The sequence below is a fragment of the Homo sapiens genome, chromosome 11 (genome assembly GCF_000001405.40).
Source record: "Homo sapiens chromosome 11, GRCh38.p14 Primary Assembly".
Taxonomy (NCBI): domain Eukaryota; kingdom Metazoa; phylum Chordata; class Mammalia; order Primates; family Hominidae; genus Homo; species Homo sapiens.
Genome location: NC_000011.10, coordinates 117,533,824 through 117,548,802, shown reverse-complemented (window position 1 = coordinate 117,548,802; position 14,979 = coordinate 117,533,824). Strand labels below are relative to the sequence as shown.

The window sequence follows — 14,979 nt, the reverse complement described above, 5'->3', positions numbered from 1 at the left end:
GGGTTTCTTCTCTGGGACTTGCATCCAGGTCACACAGCTGTAAAGCTGGCCCAATCTTCCAGCTCTACATCCAATGCTCCATCTCCAATGTGATCCAACCAGAACTAACGGTGCACTCGGGAATTCCCAGCCTTGGCCCAGCTGTTATGGGGAGGTTCAGAGGAGTGATACTGATATATCACTCTTTAAGAAGCCTGCATCCCACCTAGGAATACAAAGATGACCCCGTCCAAATGTGGAACTTGAGGCCCTCCTGGGTCCCAGGCTGTGGCCCAACGGTGGGAGCCGTGAACTGTCTGGAAAGGGAGAGAAGGTTCTGGTTAGCTGGACTTTAAGAGAGGGTCTAAGAGGGGCCTTGCTGGGGTGCAGGGAAGGGTGTACCCCTATGGGAAGGAGCTGGCAGGACTCCCCATGGCCAAGTAGTGTACTTGGAAATACCTACCAAAAGTCTGGCTCTGGATTTGGACAGCCCCAGCTTTGAGATTTGGGGCAAGTTGCTGTGACCTCTCTGATCCTCAGCTTCCTTGACTGTTAGAGGGGAAGAAGAAAACCCTTAGCCCAAGAAGGCTGTTGCAAGAATTAAAGCAGATGGTGGGAAGAGGGCTGGCTTAGAGCCTGGAATCCATTCCACGGTATTGAGCCTTTGCCACTGAGACAAGGCTGGGGCGACAGCGGCCGCTGGGATCCACACCTGCCCTCAAGGGCTTACTCTCTAGGGACAGTACCAGGCCTTGCATGTCTCAGTCCACACCTTGTCCCAGTAGAGACGAGTATGCAGTGAAGCGGCACATAAGGCAGAAAGACCCGTGGTGGGGGTCTTCTCCAGGAAGGGGATGTGAGCTGACTCTAAGGGGTGGGTCAGGATGAACCCTGGGAAGGGGTGGGAGAGTGTCATGAGCAGCAGCAAGGCTTGGGAGCGGAGGACCAGCGTGGCTGGAGGTCAGGGGCATGACTGTGGGCTTGGGCTGCCCTGCTAAGGATTTTGGTCTTCATCCTGAGAAAAATAGGAAGCCACGAGATGTTTTCAGCATGATCAGATGTCTATTTCAAGTGAGTCTGTCTGGCTATAGTGAGAATGAATTAGATAAGACCACAAGTCTTACAGACACACAGTAGCTGCTTGCTAAACGGCAGCAGAGCGGCCTTTATAGCACGCGGGGTGTTGGGGGAGGGAAGGTTGAGCAGGGAGCAGGGCTCCATGAGGGCCAGGCCCTGGGGTCAGAAAGCATATCCCTGCTATTCCTACCACCTCCTAGCTGCAGAGCCACCCAGGGTAAAAGAACAATCCCAACTGCTCAGTGGCTAATGGCGGTGTAGGGTGTAGGGCGGTCCTTCAGGGCAGGAGCAGAAGGGTGGGGCCGCGCCTTAGAAGCGAGCCAAGGGCGGGCAGCTGCCATCCTCCTCCCCAAGGCCCAGGCACACAAGGGTCCCCTTCCCTGCCGCCGTGCAGCTACTGGGGTTCTGTTGCAAGGAGGTAGCTTTCCCGAATTGTAATAACAGTGATTTCTATTATACCGTGAGCATCTGACACATGGAGTGAGAGCTACAAAGCACCCCCAGCGGGAAACATAAAAGTGGGGGTGGGGGCTCTGGGGAGGGTTGGAGGCTGTCGCCCCCGGCTGGGCTCTGCCATGTGCAGCGGACGAGGGCCGGGAATAAAGAGGCTTATTTCAGCACCCTGTTATTATGGCATCTTGTTTTCATAGTTTGTTCAACAAACCTCTCTCCCTCTCCCTCTCCCCACTCCTCGCCTCTCTTTTTTTCATCTTCCTCTCTCAGCAAATCCATTTAAATGCAATTCTATTCTTAAAGCGCCCCTCTCATGCATGTCTAATGAATGTCAGGGAAATGCTATTACAATGGGGCTGAGGAGGGCCCAATCTGCAGTGTGTGTACAAGTCATTTGAAAGGAAGCCTGGGAGCGCTCCAGTTTTATTACAGCATAATTAGAAATAAAATCTTGTTGCAATATGAGGATGAGAGATGTGTGCTAATCCTGGGGTAGAGAAAGATAGAGCTGTATTTAGAGGAAAGGATTCGGGGAGAGAGAGAACTAGCCACCGTGCCTCTGCACCCCCTCCCCCAGATTTGTCTGCTGCTCCCCACCCTCTGCACCCCTAAGACCTCTAGGAGCTGCTCCGGAGACAGTGAGGGACCCTTCTAGATCTCAGTTGCCCCAAGTGGTCACTCTGTCAGGGCTCCCGGGAAGCTGAGTAGGGTCCTTTCTGGTAACTCCACACCCCTCCCACCTACTTAAAAGACCAGTCTGTGGGCAGTTAGGAGTTGGTGGGAATGGCTGGCAGAGCCCTGGACTTGGAGACTGAGATCCAGGTCAAGTTCTGAGTCCCCCACTTAGAAGAGCTATGCATTCATTTATTCATTCAGTTGTTCAACACTTGCTGATCACCTGTTATGTACCAGGCACTGCGCTGGGTGCACTCGTTAACTGGTAATTGTCACAGGAAACAGGTTCAGAGAGATTCAGTGGCTCACGTGGCGTCATCCAGCTAGACAGGAGAACCCAAGTCCAATCCAAGCCTTCTGACTGCAGAGCTGGGTTCTCTCTGCTCTACCATGCTGTTAACTTCCTGTGTCCTCCTGAGTGCTTCTGACACCTGTCTCTCCAGTAATGCCATCTCCTATAGAGCCCAAAGGCAGAGATAAAGATGGTGGGACCTGACTGTTCCCCTTTACAGTGCAGAAAGGGGGACTTGGGGGTGGTGACACCACTTCAGCACTGACGGGCAGGCCAAAGCTTCTGGCTCTGCGTGCCTCGCACAAGTTCGCATAGCCGAGGTCCCGCCTCCCATCCATCCATTCTTCTCCTGACCCAGGCGTGTCCACCCTGCCTGACCCCAGTTGCACAAGCAAACAGCAATGGGCCAGGAGACAGGAGGCTGCTCTTGACATCTGCGCTCTGACCACACAGATGAGTTGTGTGACGCTGTGCTTCGGTTTCCTCCACGGGGGATGAGATCTGAGTCTTTGATTGAGGGTGCAGATGAGGCCCAGCCTGTGTTAACGACCCATTCCCAGGGCTAGTTCCCTGCCCACCTCATCCCTGGATGATGCCTTCAGCTTCCTCCCTGCCTCCCCTCAGCTCCTGGCCCCTGATGCCCACCGGATGGTCTTAGACTCAGTCTTTCTTCCCCATCACATTCTCTGAACCCAGCCTGTACAGTACAGCCTGAAGCCTGGTGACCTTCAGAATTGGCTCCCCTCTGCCTTTCTCCCCTCCCCATCTTCATGTCTTTGCAGAGCAGGACCCGGTTCTAGAATGTCTGTTAGTGCTGGAAGAGTCCTAGGGAAGAGCATGTCCAGATGAGGAGTGTATTCATTTTCTCTGGCTGCCATAACACAATACCACAGACTGGGTGGCCTAAACAAATTTCTTTCTTACAGTTCTGGAGGCTGGAAGTCTAAGGTCAAGGTCATGGCAGGTGTGGTTTCTGGTGAGGCCTCTCTCCCTGGCTTGCAGATGGCCACCTTCTCGCTGTGTCCTCACATGGCCTTTTCTCTGTGTGTGCACATCCTTGTGTTTTGTGTGTGTGTGTGTGTGTGTGTGTGTTTTTTTTTACGGAATCTTGCTCTGTCGCCCAGGCTAGAGTGTGGTGGCACGATCTCAGCTCACCACAACCTCCACCTCCTGGGTTCAAGCAATTCTCCTGCCTCGGCCTCCCGAGTATCTGGGATTACAGGCGCCCGCCACCACGCCCAGCTAGTTTTTGTATTTTTAGTAGAGACCGGGTTTTTTCATCTTGGCCAGGCTGGTCTCAAACTCCCGACATCGTGATCCACCCATCTCAGCCTCCCAAAGTGCTGGGATTACAGGCATGAGCCACCACACCCAGCCTCTTCCTCTTGTTATAAGGGCATCATCAGTCAGGACCCCACCCTCATGACTTCATTTAACCTTAACCACCTCTTTAAAGGCTCTATCTCCAGATACAGTTGCATTGGGAGTTAAGGCTTCAACATAACATGTTGGGGGAAACAATTCAGTCCAAAACAAGGAGGATCTAAAACCTAGAGCCAGCCTGGCCTGAGCTGGGACTTGAATCCCTGTTCCCGACTCACATCTCATGTGCTTTTCACTCTGCTACAAATCTCCCTCTGGGGTACTGAGTTGAGGGTTTACAATCCTAGGAGTTCAGAGTCCAAGGAAAGGAGAGGAAGAAGGATGGGCCTGGCTTCCCTTGGTTTTTTCAAACCCAGGCTGGCAGGGACTCCCAGGTTATTCACCATCAGCAGGTGGAACCAAAAGGAAAGAAAGGAAGGTGCCCTGCAGAGTCCGCCTTGACTTGCTCCCCGCAGGCTGCCCTGGTGCCAGGGCCCCCAGGCAGGAGCTAATTCCCGCCAGCCAGGAAGTATCCATCACCCTCAACTGCCCTGCCCCACAGCACAAATAGCTTGGGAGGAAAGGACAGCCCTGATTGTGGGGCAAGTTATCTCATTAGTCCTATGAACTATCTGCAGGCTCCACACTGCAGGCTGACGACACTGTTTTTATAAATCTGTATTGCATGGAGCAGCAACTGGTAACCTGTATTGATTGCAATTTCTCTTTTTGAATTGGGAGGTCCCTGGGGGCCAGTTGAGGTACTTCGAGGCCCTGGCATCCTGAAGCTACCCCAGGAAACAGACTTGAGCTGTGACAGACTAAGTAGCTCTTCTCTTCCAAGAGAGACAACGATTTTTTTCTGACCCTGTGGCCAAAGCCTGGTCTCAATGCAAAGCCTCACCCTATTCGCTTCCTCCTCCCTCTGACTCCATATCCCCCATTGCCTACTGGGACCTTCCTTGCAGAGGAAATGGGGGAGGCAAAGCAGGAAACCCCTTCCTCAGCTTCTGGTTTTCCTGCTTCAGGAAGGCATCTGACTCCAATAGTGGAAAAGCAGCTCCCAACCCCATGTGAATACCTATGCACTACATACGCATCATAGACCTGCCTCCCATTTAGTATTAAGATCTTTAAAAAAAACAAAACAAACAAAAAAAAAACTGCCCTATAAGCATGCAGTGCATATACATCACAACAGCCTTTCATAAGTATTGTTGCATGGACACCACAGAAGAACTCCACGAACAGAGAAAATCGGGGTTTAGAATCCCTAATTTGGGGGTGAGCAAACGCCCAGAAAGGTTAACAGGTGTTCCTAAAGCCACACAGCTGGTAGGTGGCAGGTCTCAAACCTCCAAATACAGAGCTCTGTATAGTACCCATTGGGACCTATGCCTCCCTAAGCTGCCAGCCCCTTTCTTGTCCCCTACAATGCCCCATCAGCCTGTGCAAGTGTACCCAACAGGTACATGCACCAGCACAGGGTCACACACCAGCGCAGGTACACATGCCAGTGCAGGTACACACACCAGCACAGGGTCACACACCAGCACAGGTACACAACATGCCAGCACAGATACACAACATGCCAGTGCAGGTACACACACCAGTGCAGGTACACACACGAGCACAGGTTCACAAGCCAGTGCAGGTACACAACATGCCAGCGCATGCACCATGCTCCCTTGCAGGCACATTCAGCCACCTGCCCAAGATCACACTTCCCACTAACACATGGCAACTGATCATGGCAGGATTTTTTTTCTCCCTAAGCCTCAGCTTCTGAGTCCCCCTAACCTCTTACTTCACTCTGCACTAGCCTGTGAGATCATTCATCCACTCTTTCATTCAGTAACTGTAATGTCTTCCAAAACTGGTCTCATCTCACCATTTGCCCACCCACCTACTGTGGCCCTGGCTAGTGAGAGGGAAGCCTCCATCGGAAGAATGAAGAGGCCAGGGGACCAACCTCTGCCCAGAAAGGAGAGAGAAGTCCACCTCACGGGGAAGGGGTTAGCCAAAGCACCCCCAGCATGCAGCACACACTTTCCTGGCAGCAGGGTTGGAGGAAACAGCTCTGAATTTGTGTTCAGGAGCCCCAGGTGTGAGTCCAGGCTCTTCCACTCACTAGATGTGTGGCTTGAACAAGTCTCTTAGCCCAAGCCATAATTTCCTCATCTGTAAAGGAAGAGAAGGATGGTCTTCCTAGGTGTGTACCAATGGTCAAGAGAGGGAAGATGTGCCTGGCACAGTGCCTAGTATTTGATAGGCATTTCAGCACATGGGTGCCCACTGATTCATGCACCTCGGGGTGCTTTTCTCGCAGTTTTTATAACAATTTAAGATATTTCACCTGGATCTCTCTCCAAATCCAAAGTACAGTGCTTGGAGAGAGGTACCTAAAAGAGTTGGGGAGGGGAAGTTTATAGCTGCTGGTGCCTGGACACAGGGCTTCTTCCACAAGGGCCCGAGCTGTGGAAACCTTTCATGTGTAAGAGATTGAGCTCCCCTTAAGACAGGCAGAGATGGAACCACCCAAGGCAGCTTGAGTCCAGGGCTTCTCTTTCCTCAGAGCACAGCACTACATCGCCTGCACTGTTTTTTTTTTGTTGTTGTTGTTGTTGTTGTTTTTGTGTTTTGTTTTGTTTTGTTTTGTTTTGTTTTTTTGATAGGGAGTCTCACTCTGTCTCCCAGCTGAAATGCAGTCATGCGATCTCGGCTCACTGCTGGATTCAAGCGATTCTCCTGTCTCAGCCTTCTGAGTAGCTGAAATTACAGGAGCCTGACACCATACCCAGCTAATTTTTGTATTTTAGTAGAGACGGGGTTTCACCATGTTGCCCAGGCTGGTCTCAAACTCCAGACCTCAAGTGATCCACCCTACTTGGCCTCCCAAAGTGCTGGGATTACAGGCATGAGCCACAGTGCCCGGCCTCATTGCATCTTCTATTTCACATACCTCTGATCTGAATGTTGGGTCCTGGACTTGAATGTGGTTCCATCCTGAAACCAGCAGCCCTGTGTTGCTAGTAGTCCCTCTTCGGGCTGGGGGTAGCATTTCCAATCTAATCACCTAACGAAGAAGAGGTACATCTTTAGTCGGAGAGGGACACAGAAGCCGGGATGCTACTGAGGGAGTGTCTGTTCCCACCTTCCCCCTGGGCCCTGCCATGGGAAGTGTGAGGTCCCACTGCCCACATGGGCTCAGCTGGGAGGCCTTGCAGGGGCCTCACTAAGATAAGACCACCATGGCTTACAGTCCAGACAACCTGGGCTGTGTTCTTGTCTGTACTTTTTCTCTTCTGTTAGCTCCAAACCATCCATCTTGCTTTATGTCCCAAGCTGGGGAAACAAGGAAAGGATCAAAGTGGCCCAAAGAGGAAATAGTGGCCCAAACCATTGCAATGTGGCAGCAGTGGCTAGAGGGGGAGAGACAACCAGGGCACAGGGCACATTGGGAACAGGAGTCCAGGTTGGAAGTTCAGCTGCCTCACCCCATGTGGAGATGCCTCCTCCACTGCCAGGATTCATTGATTCAACACATCAGATGTTCACTGAGCATCTGCTGTGTGCAAGATGTCTTCTGGAGCTGGCATACAGGGTGAACCAAAATAACTTCTTGCTCTCAAACAGAAGCAGCGTGTGCTCCAAGGACAAATAAAGCAGAGTAAAGAGTTGGGCAGGGACGAGGGACACAGTCTAATTTTTAGAGAGTGGTCAGACAAGACTTCTCCAAGGAGCTGTCTACTAAGCAGAGACCTGAATGAGGCCAGAAGTAAGTCAAGGAAAAAGCATTTCAGGCCAAAAGGAATTTGTGACAGCAAAGGCCTTGGGGTGGAAGTGTGCAAATGCACGTGCAGACACACGCATTTTAAAATCCCCGTAGTAGATGATCCTCAAGGGTTATTGCAGCTCCAACATTCCTTAAGCCGTGAACTTCTAAATCGCTGGGGGAGAAAGGTTCTTAAGGATGGTCTGGTTTATTTCTTCTATTCAAGACTGAAATCCCCTACGCAATATCTCAGCCAAGGGTTTCTTCAGCATCAACTTAAATACCCCCCAGTGACAGGAGACTCACTACCTGACAAAGACACTCATTCCAACTTTTTTTATTATTATTACTGTACTTTAAGTTCCAGGGTACATGTGCACAACATGCAGGTTTGTTACAGAGGCATACATGTGCCATGTTGGTTTGCTGCACCCATCAACTCGTCATTTACATGAGGTATTTCTCCTAATGCTATCCCTCCCCCCAGCCCCTCATCCCCCGACAGGCCCTAGTGTGTGATGTTCCCCGCCCTGTGTCCAAGTGATTTCATTGTTCAAATCCCACCTATCACTCATTCCAACTTTTTATAGCCTTGACTTAAATTTTTTTTCAACTTTAATTGTGGTAAAATATACATAACATAAAATTTACCATCTTAATCATTTTTAAGGGTTAAGTTCAGTCATGTTTAAGTTCAGTTGCCTTTTGTAAAACTGAAACTCCATTCCCTTTAAACCAGCAGTCCCCCACTGGTTTCATGGAAGACGATATTTCCACGGGACAGGGGTAGGGGGATACGGGTGAAACTGTTTCATTTCAGATCATGAGGCATTAGATTCTCATAAGGAGCGTGCAACCTAGATCCCTCGCAGGCACAGTTCACAATAGGGTTCGCACTCCTGTGAGAATCTAATGCTGCTGCTGATCTGACAGGAGGAAATGCTCGCTCGCCTGCCACTCACCTCCAGCTCTGAGGCCCAGTTACTAACAGGCCACGAACAGGTACTGGTCCACGGCCCCAAGGTTGGGAACCCCTGCATTAAACAACTCCCCCTTTTCCCTCCCTCTAGCCCCTAGCAACCACCATTCTACTTTCTGTCTCTATGAGCTTGACAACTCCAATACTTCCTATAAGTAAAGTAGAATCATGCCATATTTGCCTTTTTGCAGTTGGCTTATTTCACTTAGGATAATGTCCTCAAGACGCATCCATGTTGAAGCACGTGCCCAAATTTCCATCTTTTTCAAGACTGAATAATATTCCATTGTATGTATATATCACATGTCGTTTATCCATTTGTCTGTTGATGGACAGTTTGGTTTCTTCCACCTTTTTGGCTATTGTGAATAACGCTGCTATGAACTTGGGTGTGCAAATATCTCTCTCCCTGCTTTCAGTTCTTTTGGATATATACCCATAAGTAGAATCACTGGATCGTATAGTAATTCTATTTTTTATTTTGGGGGGAACCATCACACTACTTAATCTTGACTTTTGAATGCTCACTTTTGTGTGCATCTGGCAAACCTCTTGCCACTGCTAATTAGACCTTTATTCCTTTTTTTTTTTTTTTTTTTTTTTTGACAGAGTTTTACTCTTGTTGCCCAGGCTGGAGTGCAATGGCGTGATCTCAGCTCTCTGCAACATCCACCTCCCGGGTTCAAGCGATTCTCCTGCCTCAGCTTCCTGAGTAGCTGGGATTACAGGCACCCACCACCAGGCCCGGCTAGTTTTTGTATTTTTAGCAGAGATGGGGTTTCACCACATTGGCCAGGCTGGTCTCGAACTCCTGACCTCAGGTGATCCACCCTCCTTGGCCTCCCAAAGTACTGGGATTATAGGTGTGAGCCACTGCGCCCAGCCTAGACCATTTTTCTTAAAGGTCTAACTGGTTGTAGTAGAAATAGTGATTAGCAGGACAAGAGGTTTGCCAGGTGCAGAAACACTCAGAAATGGGAGTGGGTTTAATCTGGGAAGGCTTCCTGAAGAAGGTGAATTTCCAGCTGGGATCAGACTTTTCTGGGTTGCAGTTTCCTCGTGAGTGAAATGGGGACAAAACTGCCGTAGAGTTTTGGGAAATTTCTTCGTGCATTCATTCTGGAAACACGTACTGAGTGCCTGTTTTATGACCGGATTGAGATGGGAATGCACTGGAGGATTCTGAACAGAGGAGCCGCAGGATCTGACGTGGATTGAAAGCATTGCTCTGGCTGTGTGCTGGGGACAGAAGGAGGAGGGGCAGTGGTGGATTCAGGGTGGCCAGTCAGGAGGCTGCTGGCCCCTGCCTCCTTCAATCCTTTCCTTTCCTTTGCTCTAGAGACTGCAGTGGGATCTGTCCAGTTCAGATCCTCCCCCAAACCCCCAGTTTCCCCCTCCTCCCCTGTCTATCACCTTCTCCCCACCACACTCCCCCTCACCCCTCCCTGAGAGCAGAGCAGCCAGGGCCCCACCTTTGCAGAGGGTGGCTTCTCTCTGTCCAGCCCTCTGGGGCTGCCAGAAACCCAGAGGTTTCTATCAATTATCTCTCCATGGCTCCTGCAGCTCCAGGGAGTCTCGAAAGCCCAGCTCTCTGACCTTTTAGAAAAAGACAGAAAAGATGCTGTCAGCTCACTTAACACCTGTGTGCAGGGCCTCAGAATTGCCAAGGAGGCTTCTTCATCTCCAAGCTCCCTGCTCTCCAACCCAGCTCCTGAGGAGGAAGGAGGGAGTCCACCTGCAGGAGGCCTGACCGCAGGAGGCGCTGGGGGCCCGGCAGCCCCAACCTCAGCTACTCCGGCCCTTCATCTTCCTGAGATGACATGGAGCCAGCCACCCACGTGCTGGGGACTTTCATACTCAGTATTTAATTTAATCCTCCCAACAGCCCTGTGACATCAGTTCTATTTCTTTTCTCCATTTTCCTGAAGAAGAAATGGGGCTTGCGCTAGTATAGTGGGATCATGGAGACATCAAATTGTCAATGAGTGTGAAGAGTCTTTGCAAATTGATCTCATCCAGGGGTTCTCTGCCCTGCACATAAGACACTCCCTACAGCTCTTTAAAAAATCCATTCCCAGACCACCACACCCTCAGAGATTCAGAGTTCCATTTGAAAAGATCCTTTGATGATTCTCATCTACAAACATGGTTGAAAACACTCACCAAATCCAAATTCCCCTCTTTTTACGGATGGGAAACTGAGGGTCTGAGAGAAGACTGGCCCTCTCTAAAGGCACCCTGGGTGAGCTGCCCAGAGCTGCCATGAGAAATCACTGCAAACTGGGTGGCTTTAAACAACAGAGTTCTGGAGACTGGAAGTCCAAAATGGAGGTGCTGGCAGGGCCAGCGTCTCTCTACAGGCTCCAGAGGAGGGTTCTTCCTGGCCTCTCCTAGCTTCTGGTGGCTGCTGGCAATCCTTGCGTTTCGTTGCTGTTACGTGCATCCTCCTGCCTCTGCTTCCGCCTCTGCACAGCACTTTCCCTGGGTGCGTGTCTGTGTCCAGATCGCCCTCTTCTTAGACGAACACTAGTCTTATTAGAACTCAGGGCTCAATCTAACCCAGGAGGACCCCATTTAAACTTGATTACATTTGCAAAGACCGTATTTCCAGTAAGGTCACATTCACAGATCCTAGGAGGCACTAATTTGTTGGGGGGATGCTATTCAACCCAGGATACACCCCAACATGAGTGGCAGAGCCTGGACTCCAACCTGGCCTCCTATATCCCCACCCTGGGCTTTCCCCGCCACCCCTGGTGGCCCAGCCCCCCTTTGTACAGCTCCTTTTACTCATAGCTTCCACAAGACCTTCCACAGCCTTCCCCAGTACCCCAGCACTGACGGCCACGCCTTCCATGGTGGAAGGATATTGTCTCCTAACTGTGGGATCCCAGAGGGCAGAGACCAAGTCCAGGACTTCTCCCATGGTGCCCAGACCAAGACCTGGAGACACTCCAGAAAGACGTGATAGATTCAGCCAAACTGAGCTGGATGGATGAATGCTCCTCCAGGAGGCAGTGAGGACCTCATTGACAGAAGCGACCAGGCAGAGGCTGGCTGACCATATGTCCCTATGAGTGGTGCTGTCATTCTAGGAGAGTCAGTCCAGCACAGAGCTTTGGAAGAGCATAGGAAGTCGACTAATGGTCCAGGCTCTACCACCTTCTAGCTGTGTGACCTTGGATGGATTATGTAACTTCTCTGTGCTTCAGTTAATAATAATTGTATCCATTTCAAAGGGTTGTGGGGATTAAATGAGATAATGTACGTAAAGTCATTGGCCTAATTTGTAATAGCTACTCAATAAATACTTAGCTTTAAAAAAAGTAGAGTCCTGCTCGAGATCACAGAGAAAAGGGGATGGCAAAACAGGTCAGGGTCTTTGTAGTAATAATAAAAGGAAGAAAAGCAGAAACCAACCACTCCCCTAGTCATAAGCATGTAGATAGATGATACCACAGCCTTTGAAATATGTCAATCAATCAAGCAATGTCAAGGGCACAGTCAGCATTTAAACGTAGCTCTGTGTCTTGGTCTTACAGCCTAAAGGAATGGCACCCTCCAGCCTAAACCCACAGGGACACTGTTGGCATTTGGGGTGGAACAGTTCTTTGTGACTCAAGCCCCTAACCACTAAATGCCCTTAGCAACCCCAAATTATGCTGTCAACCCCAAATGTCCCACCTCCCCCAACCTGTCCAAGTGGCTTCAGGATTGGTGCTGGACCCGGAGGTACTGGCTGCCATTTTTTCCTTCTCCCGTGGGACCCAGCCTGCCTCAAAGCAGAGAACGTGGGCCAGCTACTCTTCTCCCTTCCCAGGGATGGCTAGTTGCCTCTGGGGTGCAGAGCATGGGCTGCCAGCCCGGGAGGCCAGCCATGTTGTCCAACCCTGGCCCGTCTCCATCCCCAAACAGCGGGCCGGGCCTCCCTCCGCTCTCCACACTGTATGAGGCTCACTCCACATGCCTCTTGCTCCTTCCTTCCCCAGCAGGGTCCACCGTCCGATGCTCATCAAACATGCAGAACTGATGTTGCACAAGCCCCCCCAAGGGGACTAACATCATACCCCTGATTTCTCCTTCCCCTCTCGCGCTGTGCATCCCCCTGGCTGCAGCCTGCCTTTGTTTCAGGAGGAGCAAAACACTGTGTCTGAAAACGTTACTGCAATTAAATATGCACAAGAAGGGGGGGAGGGAGGGGAAAATGAGGACAATGAAGGATGTGAAACATCAGATGCAGCAGCTGCTTGTTGCTATAGAAACCCTAGCTCCCCACAACCATCAAGGCAGCATCAGCCCCCCACCCCCCACCCCTAGTTTAAAATCCTCGTAGGGCCAAGTGCTCTGTTTGTCTTGAGGTGCCGGGAGATGCAAGATCACAGGGTCCTAGCTGTCCAGGGCTGGAGCACCTGTCGGCTGTGAGCATTGATTTCTGTGTCTTTCCTGCTTTTCCTCACCCCACCATCACTACCTCCCGACACTGGCACTTCTGATTGGCAGCAACGCCCTCCAGTAGTTCTGCATTCCAGTCCCAGTTACATAATAAATTACAAGAGAGCTTCCGCGTTTGACTTTGGGATGTCACAACATGGAGACAAAACGGCACATGCAGAGTCCACTGGGGAGCTGGCTTTCTCCGTGCTTCCTCGGTTCCTCTGACAGCCAGCTGCAGGGCTTGGCGCCCTCCACCTTCCTTCTCGTCCTCACCCACAGCCCCGAGTGGGGGTCTGCCTAGTTGCGGGGTCTGCCCGGCTGTGGTCTGTGTGCTGGAGCCGGGCAGAGCGGGGTGTCCACAAACTCTAGGTTCCAGAAGACGGGCAGGCTGCCAGATGGCCGAGTGCCCATCTGGGAGGATCCCCAACAAGATGTAGCTCAACCGGGATCAATGGGAAGTTCCAGACTCTGGCCCACATAACCACTGTCCAAGGACAGAGAGAGGGAAAGTGGCATGGCAGCAGCTCACAGAGACAGGGCCAGGGTCTTTAGTTGACTGCAAGGAGAGTAGTATAACGGGGGTGCCTCCCTCCTCCCACACCATCCCCATGACAAGGTGATGCAGGCTGAGGCTGGGTGTTGGTAGTCTTGCTCTACTCTGCTCTGATGGGCTAAGTCTAATCTTAGAGGCTCTCAAAGTGGGGCACAGTGTCTGGCACATGGTAGGTCCAGTCCTATACAGAGATGTGCGGGAGGGAGGAAAGAAAGGAGGGAGGGAGGGGCAATTGGAATTGTAGATAAACCAAAGTTCATTCAGAAGCAAGAGACCAGACTGATGAAGTTATTTGAAACTATATTAAATAAATAACTATTAAAAAATAAAATCCCTGGCATCCCAGCTCTTTGGAGGGCCAAGGCAGAAGGATCCTTTGCATCCAGGAGTTTGAGACCAGCCTGGGCAACATAGCGAGACCTCATCTCTACAAAAATTTTTTTTTAGCTAGCCAGTTGTGGTGGTGCATGACTGTGGTCCCAGCTACTGGGGAGGCTGGGGTGCGAGGATCGCTTGAGCCCAGGATGTCAAGGCTGCAATGAGCTGTGATCACACCACTGCACTCAGTCTGGGTGGCAGAGTGACAGTCTGTCTCAAAAAATATATAAAATGAAAATAAAATCCTAAGGCTGTTAACCCTGAAGAAAATTCAAAGGGCATCACAGCTGCCTTCCAGTGTATGAGGGAGTATGTCAGGAACACGGGTTTCGGCTGGTTCAGCGGGGCACCAGTGAGTCAAAGCAGGACACACAGAGGGAGCGCCAAGAAGATCAGTGGTCACCAAGGAAGACTGATCTAAAAGTCAACTTTGGAATGGGCTGCTGAGTGAGGGAGGGAGTTCCCCAGCCCCAGAGATATTCAAACGAAGGCTGATGAACCTTTGTCAAAGATATCGTCGTGCACTCAGCTTTTCAGCCCTGCAGTTCTACGGCCTCCAGTGGCAGAAGGTGCCCTACGGTGAGGTCCCCACCTCCAGGTGCTGAGAATCTTGGACTTGTGCTTGGGATGGTGGAGGGAGATGGGTGGGATACCACAGAATATTCCTCACAAGAGCAGAGCTCTCATCTTGGCTGAGGGGATGTCACTTAGGCCTCAGGTAGCAGACCTCTAAATAATAGGGCTAGAAGGGCATGGAACTGCCCAAAATGTTTCCCTCTGCCAGCCTGACATGTGGTGCTATCGGGTTCTTCCTGTGGGTTCAGCATGACCCTCTCCCCTGCAGCTTTGAAGTCACTATCAGTATCCTGATTCCAAGGCCCCCTCCCATGGAAATGGCAGCCTGGGCCCTCCGGGTCTGCCTGGGAAATCCCCAAAGAGGAGGCAGAGGACCCCAGTGTTCTCCTCTCCATCTCAGTCTGGCCTCAGTGGGAGGACACATCCATGAGCTTAGGGAGTCTAGT

General features: G+C 51.0%; 1 protein-coding gene across 5 annotated transcripts in view, besides 2 other annotated features; it reads left to right on the top strand.

Moving 5' to 3' along the window:
• Window positions 1-14,979, top strand: part of DSCAML1 (DS cell adhesion molecule like 1) — a 389,743-nt gene that overhangs the window by 268,712 nt on the left and 106,052 nt on the right. The gene's annotated exons all lie outside the window — the stretch shown is intronic.
• Window positions 867-1,387: an enhancer, noted in NCBI's record as "H3K4me1 hESC enhancer chr11:117418131-117418651 (GRCh37/hg19 assembly coordinates)". NCBI's record gives its function as "activates a minimal SCP1, AML or CMV promoter by ChIP-STARR-seq in naive and primed H9 embryonic stem cells {active_cell/tissue: H9 hESC(naive and primed)}" and the evidence as "EXISTENCE:reporter gene assay evidence [ECO:0000049][PMID:30033119]".
• Window positions 1,388-1,908: an enhancer, noted in NCBI's record as "H3K4me1 hESC enhancer chr11:117417610-117418130 (GRCh37/hg19 assembly coordinates)". NCBI's record gives its function as "activates a minimal SCP1, AML or CMV promoter by ChIP-STARR-seq in naive H9 embryonic stem cells {active_cell/tissue: H9 hESC(naive)}" and the evidence as "EXISTENCE:reporter gene assay evidence [ECO:0000049][PMID:30033119]".